The following is a 24,145-nucleotide window of genomic DNA, read 5'->3' on the forward strand; positions in this document are numbered from 1 at the left end:
CAATTATCAGTGTCTCTAAGTGTAAGCAGCCATTTGTAGAAAACATGCCCTTAAAACAGAAGTTATACATATTTCCTCATCACCTCTCTGGAAAAAGAATTCTTTGCTAAAGCAGATTTTTTTTTTCCAAATATCAACTGACACCATAAAAAAGAAAACAATCTTCTTGTGCAGGAGTGAATAGTCCAAAGCTCTCCATTTCTTGCACTGCCATTTTACCATTTACCTTTCTTTACATAGTTCAGTAGAGGGGAAATAACACAAGGCAATGAAAGGTGAAATCTCTCTTTATCTCAAAGGAACTTGCCATATTGGTGGTGAAAAGAAACTCACTGTCAATATTGAAAACTGTGAAGACTAAACAGACACAGTAGGGAAAGTCTTCAGAGAATAATTCATTTTTAAATGCCTTGTCCTTTTATTTCCTTGTGGGTGGGATGGAGGATATGGAGCCAAGTGCTTTTGAAAGCCTAAATCTAATTATTCTGTGGTTTCAGATTTGTCCTGATGCTTCTTTCCTACTCTGGTCTCATTACTTAAAAGAGCCATATTTGTTTGGCATTATTAAATCTGATAAATTAACCTAAATGCTCTAAAATTACCTTTACTACTACTTAGTGGGAACACATAGTAAATTATTATAAAAACAGTGTTTAGCCAGGATAGGATATATGTGTGTGCAATAGTAAAATAAAAATACTTAAGCACACACATAATATATGTAATTTATTCTGGTATTGAGAGTTTCTAAAAGCTTCAGGTTTACTCTAAATCTAAAATGCTGATTTATTGACAATATTAATTTGGTGTAAAAGGCAAAAATTGGAGTTGGAGTCAGATACCTATGAAACAATGATTCCAAGAAATATCTGCTGATGTATCCAGAGGACCCCATAATGTGTTAGATCTCTGTGGGAGGAATCAAAGACAGAAAGCCTGTAGGAGCATCACCTGTTCCATCTCTTCCCCCATCTGTATATACAAAGGCAAATGGTTCTGTGATGACCACTCCAAAAAGGACAGAGTCTAGGACGGGAGAAGAGATGGGAGCTAGCAATTGCAAAATTTTTATACTCTATTTCCCTACACTTCTACACCCATAAAGTCTGGATATAGTCTTTGTGAAAATGATGCTCCTAGCAACTTCAAGTAAATTCCAGAAGAAAATCTAATGAACCATGAATCCATTCACTTTTGTCCATCTCCATGGCCACTGTCACCCTTCCTCAGGCCATAGCAACAGTCCCCTACCTGGTCTTTTTCCTATCCCCAACCATTCTGTACACAGCCGCCAAAGTAAATTTTTCAAACAGTAATTCTGATCTTACTTCTCTGTACAACACCCTTCAACGGCTTCCTGTTGCATTTAGAATAGAAGCCAAGCACATTACCACGGCCTATATGAGTTATGTCCCAGTCCACCAATCCAACTTCTTGTCCATTCCCCCTGTTTCTGGGGCTGTGTTCATCTTCCATCATTTCCTTCGACTCACCAAACTCTCTCCCCTCTGCCAGGCCTTTGTGGCCACTGTTCTCTCAGTTTCTTTACCCAGCTGTTCTTGTGGCCAACTCCTTCTCATCTTCAGGCCTGTACTTTGACTATTTCCCTCAAGAAAAGCCTTCTCTGACAATCCTATGTAATGTTAGGCCCCTAGCCTGTTCTTTTCTGTCACAAAGTCTTGTAAATTCCCTGAAGCACTATTTTATTACTTGATTGGTTCAAGTTTTCATGAACTGCCTCTCCAACTAGTACATAAACCCCAAGTGGAAGAAATGATTATGTGTGCTCATTTTACGTGGCAGCCCCAGTGCCCATGCCAGTGCCTGGCAACATCACTTAGTAAGCATTTATTAAATGGAAGAACACAAAAGAAAAGAAGTGAAATGAATAGAGGATCTAGCAGGTTCCTTAAGTTCTTTTATATTTCATTTTGTTGTGTTACCTATTTATATGTAATTATGACCTACAGGACAAACTATTATGCATGCATATTTATGAAGGTGACTGATTTATTGGAATTAGTACTTTTTAAATAAATATTGGAAAACTACATCAATTTTTTGAAAAGTTTTATTTATACTAGTTTGTCAATATTTCCTACTTTGACATTTTCTATTGATTGTTCAGCATCTTTTGGAAGTTAGTTCTATTTACCATTTTGAAGTACTGGATAAAAAGTAAATAAAGACATTTTTTTCCCTGGGGCTATGTATACAGCCTTTGTGACCAGTGTGAACTATCACTTTTGGTTGTGCTGAGCAGTCGGTTGAATTGAGCAGAACAATAAAACCCAAGTGATGGACATTTCTGAGATGCTGCCAGTTGCACATCTGAACTGACCAGTTTGTATGTACTGTTGGCCTCAACTAGATTGACTTGATGTTGCTTTTGCTAGGAAACACATAAGAAGTCAAAACCTCTTCAGCATTTTTATTGCTGTTCATGTTAAAGAGAATTTTTTTTTTTTTTTTTTTGAGACAGGGTCTCACTGTCATTGCCCAGGCTGGAGTGCAGTGGTGCAATCTCGGCTCACTGCAGCCTTGACTTCCCAAGCTCAGGTGATCCTCCCACCTCAGCCTCCCAAGTAGCTGGAACTACAGGTGTGTGTCACCACGCCTGGCTAATTTTTTTGTATTTTTATAGAGACGGAGTTTTCCCATGTTGCCCAGGCTGGTCTTGAACTCCTGGACTCAAGCTATTTGCCCACCTCAGCCTCCTCCCAAAGTGCTGGGATTACAGGCATGAGGCTGAGAATTTTTTTTTTAATTGAGTGATTTATACAGGTATCTTTCTACTTTATTGCATAGCAGATTTATTCCTAACTTTTGCAAACATGACCTCATTCTGACATATCTAGTTCAAAACAGAGTCTCTAGAATATGTTTAATTTCTGTTAAAAGTTAAAGACACCTAAGGCATAGAAATATAGGTAAGTATTTATCCAGGTGCTCATTCCATATGTTAGGTCACATATTCACATTTTATATTCATTAGAAACATAAATTCAAGTATTTATCAATGCCATTTCTATTAACATAACTACCACTCGGTATTATATTTCTACATCTTTTCATGTCTGTCTTCTTGACATACAGGTGCCTTTCCAATTAATAAGCCTCAGAATCACTAGCTTATTAATCACTGGTTTATATAATAAGATGGCTTATTAAAAGTACAGATTCCTGAATCCCACTTGCAGATTATAATTCAGTAGATCTGGAGTGGGGCTCATGAATCTGCATTTTTAACAAGTTCTGCAGACGATTTGGATGTTGGTAGAAAGAGGCATACCCTTGGAAAGACACTGGTCTAGACTCTCCTTCTTAGAAGAAGGATTTTTGTCTAGCTCATTTTAATGTCTCATTTAGTACTTTGCACATTACCTGGCATTGCACAGGCATCAATAAATTTCACTGAATGAAATGTTCACGTGAATAGAAAGTTTATTTTATAATTTTATGAGACATATAATAGAATGTTCTCATTGGTATAATTTATCTTCTTAGTAGTACTCTTAATTAATACTAGATTTTTAGGAAAAGACTACATTTAAAGAATACGTTGGTGTTTAAAATTTTCTAGGAATAGAATGAGGTTGGATATTTTAATGACCTCCATGTGGCTAGCAGCAGGTAGAATTACTGTAAAGAAGAGGAAAGTGCTCTTTACTACTCAATCTATTTGGGCAATTTGATTAAATAGTTTGAAATAAAGTGCTGACCATTGTCCACTGAACTTTCTAGCCCAAACAGATATAATAAAACAAATGTCATTTGTTTTAAAAGCACAATTGTATGTAAAATCACTGAACTAAACAGTCTTTCTTCTCCTTTAGCATACGGTGAAAAAATTTCAAGAATCAAAGACATTCTTAAAAAATTCAAAATGAACATGATTTATTTCTAAATAAGAGTTATTACCTGTTAAAATATGTTTAAAGAGATACTGGAAGGAATAGCAAAGGAGAAAAAAATCCATAGACTATCTCTAAAACAGATTTTAGAATCCAAATTACTTCTAAGCTTAAGAAATCCATCACTGCCAAAACCAACGAGCCAGCTAAGAAATACATAAGATGTCTCGTTCAGTGTTGATTGTGGATATAAACTAGGAAATTTAGGAATTGGATATAAGGTCATGGTTATTATGAAAGAGGAAAAAGGAGATATATGTGGTTTGGAAAGACAAAATGGAATTGTATAGGAAGATGGGTGAAGGCAGCAGTAAGGAAAGGAATTTTGAGGTCCAGCAGTGGAAGCTTGGCCATGTCACTTTAAAAAAGTTCCAGGTTTCTTATTTGAGGTATGGAACGGTACTGAATTTACAGGTTTATTCTGAGGATATGCTATAATCTATGCTAAAGTGCCTTGTAAATGGTTGATTGATATCATTGAGTTACCATTACTGCAGCACAGAATTAGGATCTACAGGTAAAGAATGAGATGGAACTTGGGAGACATCTGCATTTGCCATTCTATCCAGTTTCACAGGTCTGTTCAAAATTCACCTCCTCACTGATTACTCCACACATTCGGTCTGGGTATGTGCATCACAAATATTTTCTATTTACTTATCTTTGTTTTGGTCCAGTAGGCAAATTTTTACTTACGACTTACAAACAATAAATAGTCACTTACATTGGACTTAAGACAATATGAGTTAATAGGCTTCTCAAGTATTCTTTACATGAAGGTAGCTGGAACGCAAAGAAATGGAAAATCTAAATCCTTTCTTGTCTTCCTAATTATTTCAAACATGCAAGGAATTTATGGTAAGTATACAGACTTAAACAATACCCTGTTCCCTGAATAGACTTAAATGTAGTCACAGAAATGCATACAATTCTATTTCCTTTCTTTTTACCAATTTGTCTTTGATTCTGCTTATGAGTTTTCATCTTGGCTTGCCATTCCTCCTTTTGCAAAGTGTGAGGTAGTGTTAGGAATTTTTAAAAAATCTGTGATTTATTCTAGGATATATCTCCCTAACTGTTTTGACTTTGACCATTACATTTCTTTTCATTTGACAATTTTGAAACAAAAACATAGATAGGGATTGGGGAAGGGAAGGAAAGGATGTGAACTCATATCCCCCATGATCAGCTTCAAACATGAATTATATAAAAGAAGCCGTCTGAATTCCTACAGCGAGATGACCATTGTGGCTCCTTTTGAGTATAAGGCATTATTACTGTACTGCCATATAACATGGACTCAGGAGCCTTTAAGCCCTACCTGTCTTTTGACATCACAGGTGCTACACTGTGAGATCTGAAAAACTCTATTTTTTTATAGTATCTGAAATACTTCTCTCATAATTGACTCTAATTTTATTTACCTTTTTTACTTTCCATGACAAATCTAGGCTTTGGGAAAGAAATTATTTTCATTGTGCATAATAATAATCTAAAAGTAAAGTTTGACCAAAATTCTATCTCAAAAATGGCATATTTAATTGCGTATATTGCACTGTGAACTTCGAGAACAATTCTAGTTAAAAATCATTTTTGATTGTCATCCAATAGCATAAATGACCATTTTACATAAATACGACTGATCTTTTTCTTGGCTTCAAAATAGTCAATATGACAGAATAAGCAGACATGATATTCTGATATTTTAAAACTATTTCCCAAAAAGTAAAATTATTGAAAAGTTCATTCAAACCTTGAACCTTTCTTTGAAGTACTATAATGTCACCAAAGGTGTTTTTTCTTTTTAAAACTAGAAGTACACTCCCAACTTTAAAGGTTACTTTTTTACTTTCTTTCCTATTGTAAAGTTTTCTTAATTTCATTTTCTTCTCGTTCTCTCACTAGGCACTTTATTTTGCAGACTAGCTCTGGTTACCATATCTGAAAAGTAGTTCCTTAAGTCCTTATTGGGGGCTGGTGGAGAGGGAGAATCCCAGCGATTGCTATGACTGTATTTCAGACAGGCCATTTCAGGAGGTCACAAGAGCTGGAATCTCTCACTATGTATTATATTTCCTGTAAAGTATGGTAATGCATTTTGAACTACTGCCCTAATGACACAAACTTTATCACATACTTTAATGTACTTTGGAAAGAATATAATGTCATATTAAACATGTAGGTGACAATCGCTGGCCTAAAACACAGTATTCTTTTGACTGGAAATAAAATCAGTGTTCTGAAAATGTAGACCTCAAGTCAGGTGGTCTGTGAAATGAGTTGTTCTAAGGTTATCGTTGCCATTAGTCTACAGAAAAGAATGGTCTGTAGATCAACAAGATGGTATCTTTTGTTTTTTTTTTGCACTTTACACACATAAGATATTGTTTAAATAAGAAGTCATATTTTATGTATTAAATGTCTATTTCCTTACTGAAGATGCAAAGTTTGCCTATATTAGATTCTGGTTGTTATGTGTGAATAGCAGCCTTCAAGAATCAAGGACTCCTAAGAATTGATTTGAAAGTGACTGCTGTCCTTTTTACACTGGAAGGAGAATACAGCAAAAGTACCTAAGTGTTACTGCTATGCCTAAGCTTTTCTGTAAAAACACACCAAAGAAAACAAATGAAACAATGCTCTTGATTTTCAAAATAACTTTAAACAAAAGAGGCATCTCTCTTTATATATATATATGTGTGTGTGTGTGTGTGTATGTGTATGTGTGCGCGCCTTATCTCAAAATATTGTGTTTAACGTCTTTTAAAAAAAGTATTGTCAGTGGTAATGGAACGCTTTTCACAGTGATAGTTAAGAATCTTTAAGAAAGAAGACGAATGTGCTTTCAAGGTTTGCCTTCAAAACATTTTACATTCTTGTACTTTAGGAGCAACAATAGAGAGGTAGTAATAAACAGAATTACATCATTATTTTTTCTTGGACCATTTTGCAAGATGTAAGCACGTAAGTTGGTATAAAGGGCCATTTTCCAATTACTAAGCCAAACAGAAGTGTTAGGTAACAAGTCTGAATAGAAATGCCAGCACCAGCTTGTCCAATAGGTTCACAAGATCTCATTCCATAGATCAGTTGGAACATGGAAGCAATGGAGGGGAAGCAAAGATTGTATCACCATAGCAACCTGAAAGGGTGGGGGAAGACAGCAAACTGCATGCCACCTGCTAATCAATTAGAACTGTTTGCAAGCTCAAGAAATCCTGGAGAATCTGAGTGGGGCTGTAGGGTCAAGTACACAGAAAAACTTAATTGGGAATTCTCTTTTAAACTTACAACACTCAGTCAAATCATCAACACCCATATATTAATAATACTGTAGTTCAAATCAGCCACTTTGCAGTATGCAATCTGCTTTGAAGAAATCTTACTTCCTTGTGTTATTACTAGGAGTATGGTATCCATTTTTCTAAAGTTGTATTGATAGTTTCTTTTAGTTTGCATTCAATTGCAATATGAGATGAGTTTGAAAATTAACTTAATTTTTCAAATTCAATAATTTTATAATCTCTCATTAAGGCATCATGTATCTTCAAAGTTTATATAACTGTTTTACACTCAAATCTTTTCAAATTCTTAATAGCTGAAAAAGGCAAGGTATCAATTCTCTGTTTACATTTATTTGTTTTGGGTGGCAAGATTACTCAATTTACTGTTAAATGGGGTCAAAAATGCTTGCAAGTTACTTAATTTACTATTTATTTTTTTAAAAAAAATTCCCAGGGGCTGAGAATCCTCATACATTTGCTGCTTTTCTTTTACCTTCTAGCTAATTATTCTTCCTCCCCTTGCACCACCTTCTACCTTGGCAGATTTAACAACTATTCTTGAATTTGAAACTATTGATGATGCTACATTAGAATGACTGATGTGTTACACAAAGGCCCCTATGTAGGTGAAGACTGGAGATGTGCTAAGCAGCCCATTATTTTCACAGTACAGTGATCTGCTTGTGGAATTTTCTGAAAACATTTCCAAGGGACAAGACATCAGAGCCTCCATTCCTGTTTCATATTGACTTCTGACCTAACATTGGACCAGTAAATCCCATGTGTAAATATGAGGCTGGGTGGCAAGACGACTTTTTAAAATATTTACAATGGTAAACTCTCTGGATTATAAATTACAACAGAAACAAGATGAACAGCTTTACCCACCATAAACTTGTCTTTCACACTTTTTTTAAGTATATTAAGCAGTCTAGCAGGAGTTTCACTAGTAGTATAAAGAAACTCAAAAAAGAACAAAAATTAGATTAAACAATTCATCACTGAAAGTAACCATGGATTAAAAAAAATTGGATGGGAAAAAACACAATGGCTAATGTCAGCCTTGAAAAATGTTTTTTAAATTAAAAAAGAAAGTCAAGATAAAACCTGGGTAATAAATAAGTCATATTACTAAACAAAAAAAATCCATATTCTCATTTGTAAACACAAAAGGATGTGAATTAGTGACAAAAATATATTATACAACGTATGTGAAACATCCAATAATCATCTGAGCATAAACAGGGTGAGATGCTCAGTCACCAATGGGTGAAGCAGGGATGCAAATCAGCCCGATCTTATTCAATCTATTGTGTGAGCATTCTCTGAGGGTGGAATAAAGGACTCAGAAGCCAGTGTTAGACTGATTTTTGTCCTCTGGGAAACTCCACTTAACAGCTCTGAATATCATTAAAAGCCTGTGAGGCAGTCATTCAAGGGCTGCTGTTGTAGGTTGTCATGGGAGCTTTCAAAACGTACACACAGAAAAACAGGCCATGATTACGGATCTTACTGCAGAGTAAATCCAGTGGCCAAAATGTTGATAAGCTTACTCTGACCTCCGATAGCAATTATTGTCTCTCCATTCTAATCATGAGATGAACTTTCATCATAATACAATAATACTGTAAGCTCCTTGAAGGTAGAAACTGTACCTTTATTTCTCTCTTGTGGCATCTTGTGTATTTCTGGGCGAATGGTAGGTGTGCAGTGAATACATGTTGAATTGAATTACAGCATGAGATCACGTACTTGCCCCCATCGGCAGAATCCTACACACCTCTCACTGGCAATATTGAGATTACAGGGGTCACTGGCAGCACTCTGCCTAATGGCATACTGACTGACAGAGTAGAAAATCATATCAAGAAGGCCAGTATGACCTTTGAGTCGGCAGACAGGGTGTGCACTCACTGTAGCAACAAGGTCAAGATCAAAGTGATGAATCTCCAACCTTCTCCTACATGGCTAGAGACCTGAACTGACCACATCTGATTATCTGCACAATTTCATCAGCATCACATGTGAGTAATACTTTAAATAACAGTAAACACTGAGAGAGGAGCACAAACATCAGAATCCCAGAATGCAGCAAATTTACCAGCTTGAAGACGTGCACTTGACGACAGGCTTCTTGTGGATCATGCAAGCCTGCTGATTAGACATGAAAACAACTGCTTTATGGTGACCTGAAATGGGATTAATGTAAGCCGGATGAGTGTTAGAAATGCTTTAAAGAACCCAGTGAAGTACTGTTCAAAATGATACAGCCAAGCTGTTTAAGAAAAAAAAAAAAATCCTGGGAAAACAGAAAAGCTGAGATCAACTTGCTTATCAGTAATCAAAAAACGGGGTAGCTCATACTGAGAAAAAACTATGTGGGAAAACATGGTTCTAGGCATCAAAGTCACTAGTTTCTATGAACCTAGGGTGAAAGGGGTTGTTAGTCATTTATCTGTCTTTTAGTGACATCGGTCTTCACAAACTGTAGTCAGAAGAAGTAGCATGAACTTTAAACACTAAAGATAAAAATAAATACATTGTATGTAAATAGGTGCCTAAATGATTTTTATCTTTAAAAATAACTTCACTTTCAGCTATTGAAAAACTCCTTTAATTGCTAAGAGAGAAAGTCAGTAGGTGACTAAGGCACTGCAATTTACATCTGCTTAGTGGTGATATATTAGTATACTCTCCAGAGAGCTTCCAACCCGACATTCTCCATATGTTGCCCATATGTTATATTTCCATAAACATATCTTCTAGAAAACAGCCAGATGCTTCACTTTTATACCTGAATAATAGTGGCCCTTCTTTATCCTTTGGTCTTATCTCTTCCATAGGTTTTGAAATATTTATAATAATTAAATAGGAAAACAATTATTTTAAAATGCATTGAATATAAACCCAGTTATTCATAATATTGTATTTCTAGGACCTTTACAAACTTCTTTTCTAAAATACAAAAACTCTTAAGGTTGAATATCAAGATAGAATATTATTGCCATTCAGACGAAATAGAATTTAGCGTGAATTTTAGCGCATCGTCCAAACCAACATTCCTGACTATGTTCTGGAAGGGGATGATTTGCTGAATGAGTCATGAATGATCATTATCATCCTTATAATATCAACAACAGTTTATAGTTACTGAATACATATGATGTGCCAGGTATTATGCTATTGGACATAGTGTATCATTTTTCATTTTACCTACAAGTAATATGTAGGTAAAAATGTCGTAATAATGTTTACAGCTCCATTATTTTCAGGTTGAATTCATATAATTCTCCGTTATCACAGTCATGATTTTGCACATCTGAGACTTGACAATCCTCGTGCTTCTGGGGCACGCAACATGAGAAAGAGTAAATAAGTGACCTCTTTATTTCCTCTCTGTCCTCTTTCTCAATCTTCTTTCTTTTCCTTTTAACTACTAGAACCTCCACAGATTCGGGCCACGGGTCAGGGAGGAGTATGCAGATCTGCTTTCAACAAATGCCTCTGGGTGGGTGACTCTAGCCATGAAGTATTAGTGTGTATCCAACTTTTAATGTCAGGCTGCTGTATAGTGGGGAATTCAGAGGCAGTCTCTACCCTCAGTAGATTCTCATTATTTCATGTCAGAGTACGGAGGATCACCCTGTCTCCAGTATTTCCTAATTTCAATCATTGTATAGAATAATTCTGTGCATATATTATACAATCGGAATTATTTCACTCTCTTGCTATAGCATATCCTTTCAAAAGACAGAATCCTCTCTCTGTCTTCCGAAGTCTACTAGCTCTTTCTTGTGCACTCCTGTCTCAAGATTAGTCAATGAAGGCCCTGGAAGAGAAGACCAGGAGGGCTCAGCTGACCCAGACCAGGCTAATGCACACTTCATTGACTATATTTCACCTGTTTCATGCTCTATTCCTGTCACAAATAATTCTTACAGTTCCATCCAGATGAAAATCAATTAAGGGGTAATAAGAATAATAACAGTGAGCATTTAGTGCTTAATGTGTTAAACAGTATACTAGCCACTCTGACTAGCATCTCATTTCAGTCTCACAAGCCTCTGAAGTAGGCCAAGAGTATTATTTCTACTTAATAGATAATGAAATTGACACTAGAAACATGAAATAACTTGTTCAAGGTCACAAAACCAGTAAGTGGCAGAGTTGTCATTTGAACCCAGGAAGTCTGACTCCGGAACCTACCTACGGCTACATATAATGCATTTTTAGAATAAATTTTATTCATTCATTCATTCATTCATTCATTCATCCATTCATGTAGTTCCTATGTCTTAGGCACTGTGAAAAATACAAAGAAAAGTAAGGCCTGAATCCAACTACCACATAAACTCAGTTTTTTGGAGGAGGGGGACACATGGACAAACAACAACAGTGAGATGGCGTATATGCAAGGTGGTCAGCATGCAAGGTACAGAGAGGAGTGAATGTTGCCTGGAAGAATCAGGGAAGGCTTGTTAAATAAGGTGGTGATCTTCAGGGGCATGTTTAAAAATGGAAATACTTTAGTGGGGAAGGATATGGTCTCTTCTCCAAAGTATTTGCTAACACATGGAGATGGAAGGTAGGACTGCCTATTAGAGAAAATGAAGTAGTTGGAGGGTGGGCGTGTACAGGAGAGTAGCATGAGCTTATCTGGGAGGGTAATGGGTCCGTTCTAGGAAGGACCTTAAATGCCTTGCTCCTTAGTAAGGAGGCTAAGGCTTAGGCTGTTGAGGAAAGGTTTTAAACTAATACACATAATTGGATCTGCATTTTAAAAGGCAGGCGTTCTCAAACCTGGCTACACACTAGAATCACCTGGAGAACTTTGAAAGAAATACTGGGGGCCTGACCCCATCCCCAGAGAATCAAATGCAATTAATCTGTGGGAGGGCCTGGCATCAGTATTTTAAAGAGGTTCCCATGTAATTCAAATAGGTAGCCTAGGCTGAGAACCATAGCTTTTTGGCTTCTAATATCTAATTTATGGGGGAAGAAAGTGCTTTATTAAACATCTGCCATACAAACAGCAAAACTTAACTAGTAATTCAGGATATTTCACCTAAGATATGATTCTAAACAATGTCTCAAACAAAATTATGGTTAAATCAAGTGAAAAAAAAAAAACCCCACACACTTTTTTCTGCGATTACATTTCAGAGTTACAGGTTTGTTAGCAAGGTGTGTACCAGGGTGCTGAAGGGTTAAGATACAGAACTAGATGATGATGCAACATTGAAAAGCCATGGCATTTAATGGAGTAAAAAGGAAATCAACCACTCATCTTAAAAACTCCATGATTCTCTATCATTGCATCTTGGGCAACAATAGTTAAAAGTCACTTGAATCATTGCACTACTCTACAGAATCATGGCTGACCTCTGCTGTGACAAGTGCAGAATACCCTCGGCTGAGTTACATAATGGAAGTATCTGCAACAGTGAGTTATTCCAACCCTCGGGTAGAATGACGGATGCTCCACAGTTTCCTCGGATGTGAAGCCACTAGGGACCTGGCTGCAAGCATGTATTTTTATAGACACCTTAGCTCATGTAAAAGTTCTAATGCAAACTTTAGTGCTTGGGAACGTTAAATAGGTTTAGGATGCTTCCCCAGAGAGTTTTAGTTCCATTAACACAAGACTTGGTGACTAAGGACGGATATAATCCTGATCCCACGTTAGAGATATAGAAAGAGAAACTCTTCACTGTCTTCAAGTTAGCACTCACATTTCAAAAGATAAGAAGGACCTTTCAGCATCAAGAGGACTAAATAATTCAATTCGAACCTAATTCAGCATCTTATGCATCCCCCTTCCTCCAATAGAGCTCATGTGGCAGAATATAGCTAAATTATTTCAGCTGTTAGAAAAGAAGGTGACAGAATTCGTAGGCTTCCTTCCGTGACCGTCGTGGCTGAAAGTTCTATTACTGAACTACTGGCACTTGGCCTGTGGAGATTCTGACTGTTCACTCTCAAATGGCTAAGGGCTGAGCTGCATGTGATAATGTCTGCCACCAACTCAAAGGTACCATGTTGGTCCCTGACCATGGGAGGCCAGGGGCACAGATGTTCCCATGTAGAGCTTCTACCTCTCAGCACAGGGCTGAGGGCGTACACAGCTGGATGTAGGCAATACCAGCACATCTACTGAAGCCCCATGACCATCTTCAGAGTGCCTAACATGCCCGCACTGGTCCTTCCCCACCACCATGGTTCCTCAGCTCGTGCAAGGCTCTAAAGGAAAAACAAAACTTTGTCCTCTTAGAAAGTTCAGAGCAGAGGTGGAGGGGAGAGACCATGACATTTCAAGGCTTCCCAATGGCAGGTTCCACAGCCATTTTTTCAAACGTGTGTGTTCCTCATCTCTTTGTATAACCTCTGCTGCAATTAAATGGGCCTTCTCAGTAATCACCCAACTTGATCTGCAAATTCTTACCAACAAATAACTACTGATGACACACCTATCTCTTCCTCACTATCTAATCACAAATGGCTCACTCAAACCATGAAGATTTGCCCATTACATTAGCTTTGAATGACTTCCAAGGGAGAGAACCAGGACATTTGGCTGGAGCTTTTTCCACTTAACTCAATCCCTTTACCCATCTTCCCCTTATATGCAGCCAACCTCTTCACCTGTGCTTCCAGTGCACTCATGACTACTACTCTGGGATTTTGTCCCATTGACAATGCCTCTCCCTAGTATCTCTTATTTTAACGATCTCCCATTCTCTGTGTACAAACAGGCACAATTATCTCCCTTCTTGAAAAGAAAAAAAAAAAAAAACCTATCTGATTTCTTCAACCATACTTTACCTAAGTGGAATTCTCCTTTCCCCATTTCCTCACCTTCCACTTGCTTCTCTAAGTATTTTGGCAACTGCTTCATCATGCTGACTGCTCTGACAAAAGTCACCAATGTATTTCCTTTTCCAAATACAATGGACACTTTTCAGGTCCTCGTTTCACTGAATTGACCTTTTGGTAGCAGCTGGCATAGTTGTTCATCCCTCCTTTGTGGAATGCTCCTTGCCCTGCCTCTCTGGGTATTTGCTTGCTCTTGCTGGCTCTTCTTTGCCTTGGTATCACGTAAATGTAGGTGAGCCCAGGCTCTGTCATTGCTTGACTCCCACTACACAACACTTCCTGTATCCTGCAGACTTCAATCAACTCTACACTTTGAGTCCCAGACTCTCCTAAGCTTTAGAGACATAAGTGCAATAAACCAAATCTCCCTGTGAGCCCTTTCCATTCAGTATGCCAAAACTGAAATACATCCTGTTTTCTTAGCTCCCTCACTAAGCCTCCTTCCCTCACACCATCTTCCCCCACAAACAGAAAACACCATTCATCTATTCCTAGGTTTACCACCTTAGTTGAAGCCATGACCATCCACCTTTTGGTTAACTTCGGTCTTCCCTTTCCCTTACCACTAGCCCCACACATTCCAGAGCAGTGTTGCCAAATTTCTTTTGCAACATTTTTCTCATTCATCCCTTTCTCTCTACCCCAACTTTCATAGTCTTTGTTTAGAACCTCATCTTTTTTTTTTTTTTCACCCAATCTACTGCAATCATTGTAGTTAATCTTCCCTTCTTCAACGCATCTTCACTCCAAGCTATCCTCTACTCCACTGGTCAAATAATGATGGTGCAGGGTCAAATCTGGCCTGCTGCTTTTGGTATATAAAGCATCTGCCCACTCCTTTATGTATTATCAATGACTGCTTTTGTGTTTCAGTGGTGAAAGAGACTGTACAGTCCATAAAACCTGAAATATTTACTACCTGGTCCTTCAGAGAAAGTTTGTCCAACCCACTACTGCCAGGATGATTCTGATCAAAAATACAAATCTGATCACGTTGCTTCCATGCTTAAAAGACTTTGGTAGTTACATTAGGTGGTGAGGTACCAATCTGTGACTGCCAAATGCAGCACTTCTGGCCACACTAAATAAACCCCTGATCTTGAAGGTGCCTTGTACATTGATGTCAACTTTGTCCTTCTGTGCTGTTGCATATGCTGTGCATTTTGTATACCATGCCCTTGATGTGAATAATTCATTTTCATCCTCCCAGATTCAGTTCAAATGTCATCACCATGTAAGCCTTCCTTGACTCCTCTCAACAGTGAGATCCTCCCTACATACCTTATTTCCATATACTTTGTACATTTGTCTATTTTGCATTTATCACTATTTCATTCATTCATTCTTCTATTTACACATCTGGTTGTCTTGCTAAGTCATGAGGACCTGACTTAAATATACCAAGAATAAACTTCCAAATGAATGTAATGGTAGGTTTTATGCCCTTATTTATATCAAGGTCAATTTTATTTCAAAATAGTTTGAGAAATTCTTCTATGTGTCTGCTCTCAGAATCACTTTATGTTCATTCAAGAAAGGCCATCTTAACATTTCAAAGTTAACATTTCATTTTAAATTAAACCAAAACGTTACTCTCCAGCTTCATCAGCAAGCATGTTCTAAAGGAGTTTGAATCTTTCAAAAAATCAAATCTGCCCTTAAAGGAAAAAGTTTACCAATGTTGGTAGTTGTTAAGTAAGGAACAGCAGACATTGGATGTAATTTTGAAAAGATAATTTTAGAAATATTTTCAGCAATGACAACCATCTTCAAATAGATAATTTTGTTAACCTATTAACTTTGATGAGACTGCCACATGTTCTGGAATGTCTTTTTTGTTCATTCAATTAAATCACACTGAAAAAAGAATGGACTACTCAATAAACGTATATCCAATTTTTTAAAAGACTATTGGATTCAAGTAGATAAAAGATCTAAATATAAAAAGCAAATTCAAACTTTCAGGAGAAAATTATCTTTATAAAGTTGGAATAAAGAAGGCCTTAAAAATGCAAAATAGAAGAAACTGAACAAAGCAAAAGATAACTTCAACTACATTAAAATGAAAAATTTGTTCATTGAGATAACATAATAAAATAAAAGTCAAGCCATGAATTTGGAGAATTCATACCAGTAAAAAATATAACTGACAAAAGATTAGCATCCAGACTGTCTAAGAATAACTACAAATCAATAGAAAAAAATTGAATCTTCTAAATAAAAAAAAGATATGAATGGACAATCTAAAATATGAGGAAACTTGAAGATTCAATACACATACCTAAAAAGGCTCTACCTCATCAGAAATCAAGTAAATATAAATTTAAACCTTAAGGAGATTCAGTTTCACAGCAATCGGATTGGCAAACATTAAAAAGTCTGGCAACATCAATCATTGGCAAGGATATTGAGCAATGAGAAATGTTATACCTGATGGTGAGAGTATAAATTAGCACAACTTACTTTGGAGAGCAAATTGGCAATATCTAGTAAAGTCGAAGATGTACTCCTATATTTATTCTTAGACACAAGAAGATACACAAGGATATTCATTGCAGCACTGTAATATAAAAGTGGAAAATAACCTAAATGCCCATCAATGTGAGAATGGAAAATTAAGTTGGGGTTGTTATATATAATGGTATAACATATAAGAGCAAACGTGAAATAATTAGGACCACATATAACAATGTGGCTAAATCTCAAAAGCATAATGCCAAGAAACAAACAAACAAAAAAAGCAAGATGCAGAAGAATGTACACATACAATTTACATAAAATTTCAAAATCTGCAAAGGAATGATATACATTGTTTACAGATGCATATGAATGAAGCAAAGGTATCAAGATGTGCCAGGGAATGATACTACTAAAATCAGAAGGCTGGTAACTTTTGGAGAGCAGAGACAGAAATGTAATTCGGGACTTCAATTTTCTTTGTAAACATTTATTTTTTAAGCTAAGGTATACTGATGTTTGTATACTATTCTCCATGTTTTGCTGAATATCTGGAATTTTCACAATTTGAAAACTCACTTTTAAGACAACCATTTTTGGAGGAAGTTGTATAGAGCATGTACCCCTATAACATAATCTAACAGCCAGACATATTCCAGTGCATTGAAATAGAGATTTTAAAGCACACAGTATTAGCAGTTTTAGAATTAGAATTTACCTTAAAGTCTGACCAGTCTACCACTTTCCTATTTGAAAATAAGGAAATGGAATAATTACTTTAATCACTCAGTATTATTAGATTGGCTAGTAATAGGGTTAAGACCCCATCTGCTACAACCCCAGACATATGAGTGTAATTAAATTAAGGCATTCTAAGCACGATGCCCAAAGTTGTTCTAGTATTATTACTTTTATCAATCTCATTTTATATATATATATATATATATATATATATATATATATATATATATATATATATATTAGTGACAGAGTCTTGCTCTGCTGCCCAGGCTGAAGTGCAGTGACATGATCATGGCTCACTGCAGCTTCAAACTCCTTGGCTTAAGTGATCTGTTTCAGCCATCAGAGTAACTAGGACTACAGGTGTGTGCCACCACACCTGCCAATTATTATTATTATTATTATTATTATTATTTTGTAGAGATGAGGTCTCAAACTGTTGACCAGGCTGGCCTCCAACTCCTGGCCTCAAGTGATCCTCCGGCCTTGGCTTCCCAAAGTGTTGGGATTACAGGCATGGGCCACAGCTTCCAGCTAATCTCATTTAATCTTGAATCACAATCTTGTATCTTGAAATCTTTGTCAGGGACAGAAGCCCCTGCATAATTTTTGGGCTGGAGATGACTCTGTATTAAGAAAATAATCATAATTATCAAATGAAAACAGTAATATGCAGAATAGTGTATATATTATAGTACCACTTTGTAAAAAATAAAAAGAAATGAGAATATTATATTTGTGTGGCTTGCATATGGAGAAAAATACCCATGAATGGATAATACATAAGAACCATGCTTAGCAATTAGCAGGAATGGGTACTGGGTAGCGCACAGTGACATCTGGAGGGTGATTTTTTTTTCATATACCTTTTTGTTTTTTTGCAATTCAAACCATGTAAAGGTATTACCTATTCAAAAGTTAATTAAATAATTAAAAAAGAAAGCCCTTGTAAGATGCACTGATCTAGCTCCTCTATTGTGAAAGATGTATTATTTTTCTCACCTACGTCTCTCAGTAAACTCCAGTTCCAGCTTCTAATCACACCAACATGACTTTTTTCACGGGCTGATCAGAAAATGATGGCTGACAGATCCTGACAGGTAAAGTACAATGGCCTTTACCGCGGCATTGCTATGGGCAATGGAGACGATTTCAAGGTCTCAGCTTCTTGTGTATTAAGACTTTAGTTTTAGCTTCTGAGTTGAAATGTCTCATGCCTCTTCCTTCCTATGGGCTTTAAGCTCTGGCAGGTAACATGGCACAGGCCTTGCCTGGGCTGGGAGGTGCCTGAGTTTCTTCTGAGTATCTAAAATATGCCCACCAGGCCACTTGGCAACTTTGGCTCACCTTGACCCCTAGGTTTGTGGGTGCTTACTGGCTCATTATCTTGACTGACCTTGACCATGTGTTGCTAACTGTCATTGGAGTATCCACTGTAAGCTCTTTTCCCCCTTTTCTCACCTGCCAAACCTACTAATTCCTAAGATGAGAAGTTCTCACTAAAATATATTCTTCTGTTCTGATAATTTCTACCAATTAGATGGAAGCTACTTCTTCCTTAACTTGTAATTTTGTTTCTTTATCTACTGGCCCTTTCTAAAGAGCAGGGTTCTAGCAGATAGCTTCCAGGAAAATCATGACAGTGGAAAGAACCCTAGACTGAGGATCTAGGGCTCCAGGCTGAATAAAGAATAACTTCTCTGGTCAACTCTAAAACGAGTGGCTTAGTAGACATTATCTGTAAGGTTCCTTTACAGAGCTAAAGTTCTATGAATCTCTTATTTTTTAAAAAAACTCTCTTTTACCTCCTTCCACTCTATTCCTTTTCTACCTAAACATTTAAAAGATACTCTGAACAGAAGATGGGTTTAGACACATGTACCCATGATTTCATCTCATAGAAATATATCAGAGAAGACTATAAAGCCTCAGAAACCTAAAGGAACAAATGGGACTTGCTGCCCGCCAACTTTCCTCATGGGAAAAAGGCATTTTCTTTTAGAGAGAAACATCTCTCAAGGCACTATGGTTAAAAAAAAAATAGGCTCCACTTTCTCATAAGGATATTATCATATATAATTTTCCCTAAGAATAAGAGGTAATAGAGAAATAAACCTTTTGAAAGTAGTCTCTTGTTTTAACTTTAACATATATAATCTATACATTTAGTCACTCACTTTTTTCTGAGTATTTACCTATCATAACCATGTAATTAATTCTTCTTATCTAATTTGTATTTTTAATAATAATTGTGACTATAATAATTCAGCATCGTGTGACTGAAACTGCACACCTGGGAGTCACCCTGGACTCCTTCCTTTCCTTGCCCACACATTCATTCCATCACCAAATCCTGAACATTCAAACTCTGTAACAGACCTCGAACCATGTACTTCTCTGCTGTTCTTCTCCAGGGCCTAACCATCTCTTGCTTATACTTTTTAATAGCCTTGTGGTGGCCTCCTTGCACTCTGGCTATTCTCCAATCTCCTCTCCAGAGAGTAAACAGAGCTGTCTTTTCAAATCCATAAACCTGGCTGTGCCACTCCCCAGGGAACCCTTCAATGTCATGTCAATGGCTTTTGAATTAAACCCAAATTTCTTCCTTGGCCTTCAAGGCATACATGATTTAATTCCTGCCTTCCTTTCCATCATTAACTAGTTATGTGAGATTGAGAAAGTTATAGGACCTCTCTTTACAGTATAAATTTCATGCTATAAAATGCCACTAAGAAGCAGATCTTGCCTATAAAGTGCTTAAGATAGCTCTTGGTACATAGCAAGCGCTCAATGAGTGTTAACTATTTGAAAATTTAATAGTCAATACAGACAGAGCATTCGCTCTGTGTGTAACACTAAGCTAGGCACTTCAAAAAAACTAATGAAGCCTTTCTAAAACTTCTCTCAACCTTTGTCTTTTTCTCATCACTATATCAACAAGGAGACTCCTAGTAACTATATGAAGTCTTGCACTTGGGGTCAAAGATCAATAGTACCAAAAATGGCTTAGGGCATTTTCACAGTTAGTGTGAAAAGATCTTAAGGATTTTAGGTGAATGGCAAGTAGCTAAGAGCACAGTGGCTTCCACACCACATCTGTCAATGCACTTCATAAAAAAAAAAAAAAGAAAGAAAGAAATCTTAGACCATGATGTTACTTATATATACAACAAGAGAAGTAACATGTTACATTGGTCAGATAATATTTGGTTTTATTCTAGGTACCATATCTTAACAGGGACATTAATGACCAATTTAAGGCAAGTAGGGAGGTAAGGGGCCTGCAAAGAATGTTATATATGAAAGTTAAGGGACCTGGGTAATTACCCTTGAGAAGAAAAGATCTGGAAGAGTAGATAGACAAGATATTTCAAATATTTGAAAAATCTTTTTACAGACAACACATTCTACATGTTTTAATGAGCAGGGCTGGACCCAAAGCACAGAAATCACAAGAAGGAAGACTTCCATTCTCATTATTAGAACTATCCAAAAATGAGGGGAAAATACTTGGGAGAGGAGCAAATGGCTCTTCACAGGGAAAGTTTTACGTACAGGCTGAATGATCACCCTTTTAGAACCATGTGAAAAGAATTTCCTTTTGGATAGAAGCACAGACTAGATAAGAGCAGCTAACATTTACTAAGCACTTAATGATATGCTAGGAGCTTTACAAAATTATTCATTTAATCCTCACAACAACTCCAAGAAATAGATACTCCCATTTTACTGATGAGGAAATTGATAGGTTAAGTGACTTGCCCACTGTCCAACAGGAAGTAGCTGAAACAGGAGCGAAATCCAAGCTGCTTGGTTCCTGAGTTCGACTATTAGTTTACGTTCTACATGACTTCTAAACCAGATGATTTGTGAATGCCCCCCACCTCGTAATTTCCATGTTTCCATCTCACATAACTTTCTGCAGTCACTTTGTTGACTGCTGTCCCATATGCCTTTAATTTCCTGTTACTAAGATTTGTCAGAAAAGAAAGTTTTTCTGAACAGATGAAAGTGTACGATTTCCTGGAAATGTACAGCAATTCACATGAAAGGGAGAGGGTTGTTGAAGAAGGGGAACATTAGCCTAGGCAAACCCTCCAAGAAAAAGACAGAAGTCCCTGCAACCAGAGAGGACCCTATAGGAGACCTCTCTGCTCATTTAGAAAGCAAATTTCCGGGATCACTTTAGATATACAATTATTTTAAATATACAATATTTGATCCCTATTTAACAAAGGGATCTCAGAGAAAATAAAAATATATAGTAATCTTTACAAATATCTTCTTGCCATTAGACTAAAAAAGTTTAATTGGAAGTTATTAACACTGTGAATATTCTGAATATAGAATAATCATTATATAATATTCCCCATAAAGACAGAGTTTGTAAAATAAAATGTTTTGGAATAATTTGAGATACATATAAATATGGGGTAGATAAATGAGGTAATGGCAAAAAGCAGAACGTCCCACAGAATGTACAAATATGCCATTCCGTTAGAAACTTTTGGGTACAGTACTCCACTCAGATGTCTCATATGGTCTCATCTGGCACAATTTTGCAGTGATAGTAAAAAATACAATTTGCTCACTTAGAACATGTTTTAGAGCTGGGTGAGATATAATTTCCCTAAATTGAATATTTGGGAACCAATTTACAACCTCAAATCTGCTATTAACCTCAAAATAGGTAATTGAAAGTTTGTGTCTAAATCCGTTTGTCATAATAGAGCAAATTAAGAATCACATGATGGACGTGATTAATGTGTGACAGTTATCATGAACACCATGAGCACGAACTAATAACAACATCACAGAGAGATTCCAAATGTGATGCAGCCATGAAGGCAAAACTAATTTTCAAATTATAATAGCAACATCCAAGAAAGCTAATGTTTTCTTTGTGTGACAGTCATGGCTGGGCATCTGGACGATGGCCTGCCACTAATGTCCTAATAAATGGCAGGCACACACTAGAAAGGCTGTCATCATGTGGTGAGCTGAGCACAGTTGCTGCTGCCATTGTCATAATGGACTGGCTAGGCAGGAGGTCACAGGGTGCTGGAAAAAAGTAAGTCTCATTACTGGCTCAGTCTCAGGGTTCGATGTGCCTGAGAGTTCTGATGCACATGGCATAAACACATTTTCAATGCATATGGGTAATATGTCTGCTTAATTTTGGTCTTATGCAATATTTCTTCCCTATTTTCTGCTGAGAGAATATCAGAAGACTTGAAAAGTACTTGTAATTTAGTAATTTAGTGTCACAACAATTAAAACGTTTTATTTATGTGTAGAGCTTACTTTCAGCAACCGTCACATTGGCATTCAGATAAAAAACTGCCAGTGCATTCTGGCAGAACAGGTGCTTAGCTGATGGCACTTGATAACTGGGGGAAGCACATACTCTGGCAGGGCCTAGTGGGCCTGGTGCTGCAATGCACCTACCCTGCTAGACTGAATGCCATGAGGTGAGGGAGAAAGTCTTTTTTATCTTGACGTACCTGGCACTGAGCATGGTGCCCTGAGCAGATGGCCAAGAAATCAAGGGCAGTATATGAGAGAGCTAAGCAAATGGATCTAACTCTGGCTTTGCCATCTACTAGCCTAGGTAATCCCAGGCAATGATGTCAGCTCTCTGTCTCAAGTTCTCTCTCCAAGAATGAAAACAAGTTGTTGTGAGGATTAAATAGTGTATTAAAGCATTTAGTACATAATTGTGCTAAAAATGGCAGTTTATTGCATCAAATACATTTTCATAGATCAACAGTAGCAACAAAAATTCTCTGCACAGCACCTGTGAGATGGGTGCAAACAACCTTTACTTGTACAAAACCAGTTTTAAAAAAGCAAAACTCTAATTGGCTTTTCAAAGCTTTTTCTCACAACTGTCTAAAAGAAAGCTGTCCCAAAACAGTAAATTCTCATAAGAATAAATGATAATCTGAATATTTCTTGCCATATATAAGCTCAATTAATTTCTGAAAATTTTGACTATTTTAACACTTGCAGAACATCGACAATAGGAAAACACAAGCATTAAAAAAAAAACTCCTTTAGTCAATTGTGCAAGTAGGCACATATATGCCAATTTATGTGCAGAAACATAAAATAAATAACTGATGGCTCCTCTCTTTCAAATATTTTTACATTTACTCTTTGTATTCTTCTGTAATGATCCTTCTATGGTTTATTTCCCTTGACAGAATAGAAACTGAATTTTTTTGTATCACTAATAGTCTTGAAATTAAAGTGGATGTATTAGGTGCTGGCAATTTTCTACATCTGCCTCCACTATAACTGAAACTATTTCAGTATCATCTTTAGGGATAAAGTTTACTTGTTATTTGCAGACTTCAGTCACAGAGTTGGTTAGAAATGATGAGTATTTTAATATAATTGTTTCTTATTAAAGGGTCAAATCTTAAAGAAAGTATTGTTAGGTCTTCGTGGAACTGTTTGAATTACAGGTTCTCTGATGTATGTTACATTTTGAACGCACAAATGTGATTGTCTTATTTTAATATACCATCAAAAAGCTCAGATAACCCAATGACGTTTTCAGTGGTTACATTTCAAATATTGGCATGGTTCCAAAATGTAGACCTGGAGTAAGTAATCAGAGATTGAAGCAAGGCTAGCTGAACTATTCAAACGGCATAAATGGCATGTTGAAATATTCACACATTCAGATTAAACTATACAGTGTACATGAATATAGTTTGGACTAAGGAAGTCCAGCTTTTCTTAGAATAGGTAATAAGTTAATTTGACTTTCCTGATGCATAATATATAAATATTCAATCCAAATAACTAGGGGGAAATCTATATCTATATAATTTACATTCAAAACTACAGTATTCCTCAAGGCTCAGT

General features: G+C 36.6%; 1 protein-coding gene across 3 annotated transcripts in view; it reads right to left on the minus strand.

Annotated features, from left to right (window-relative positions):
- Positions 1 to 24,145, minus strand: part of FBXL17 (F-box and leucine rich repeat protein 17) — a 523,064-nt gene that overhangs the window by 69,767 nt on the left and 429,152 nt on the right. The window contains exon 8 of one of the 3 annotated variants that reach the window (XM_011543574.4): positions 17,758 to 17,895. The exons of the other annotated variants lie outside the window; for them this stretch is intronic. Within the exon in view, the coding sequence (XP_011541876.1) occupies positions 17,852 to 17,895 (44 nt within the window). The 3' untranslated portion in view covers positions 17,758 to 17,851. Of the gene's footprint in view, positions 1 to 17,757; positions 17,896 to 24,145 lie in introns of those variants that run through there. 3 annotated transcript variants of the gene reach the window in all.

The sequence above is a fragment of the Homo sapiens genome, chromosome 5 (genome assembly GCF_000001405.40).
Source record: "Homo sapiens chromosome 5, GRCh38.p14 Primary Assembly".
Lineage (NCBI taxonomy): Eukaryota > Metazoa > Chordata > Mammalia > Primates > Hominidae > Homo > Homo sapiens.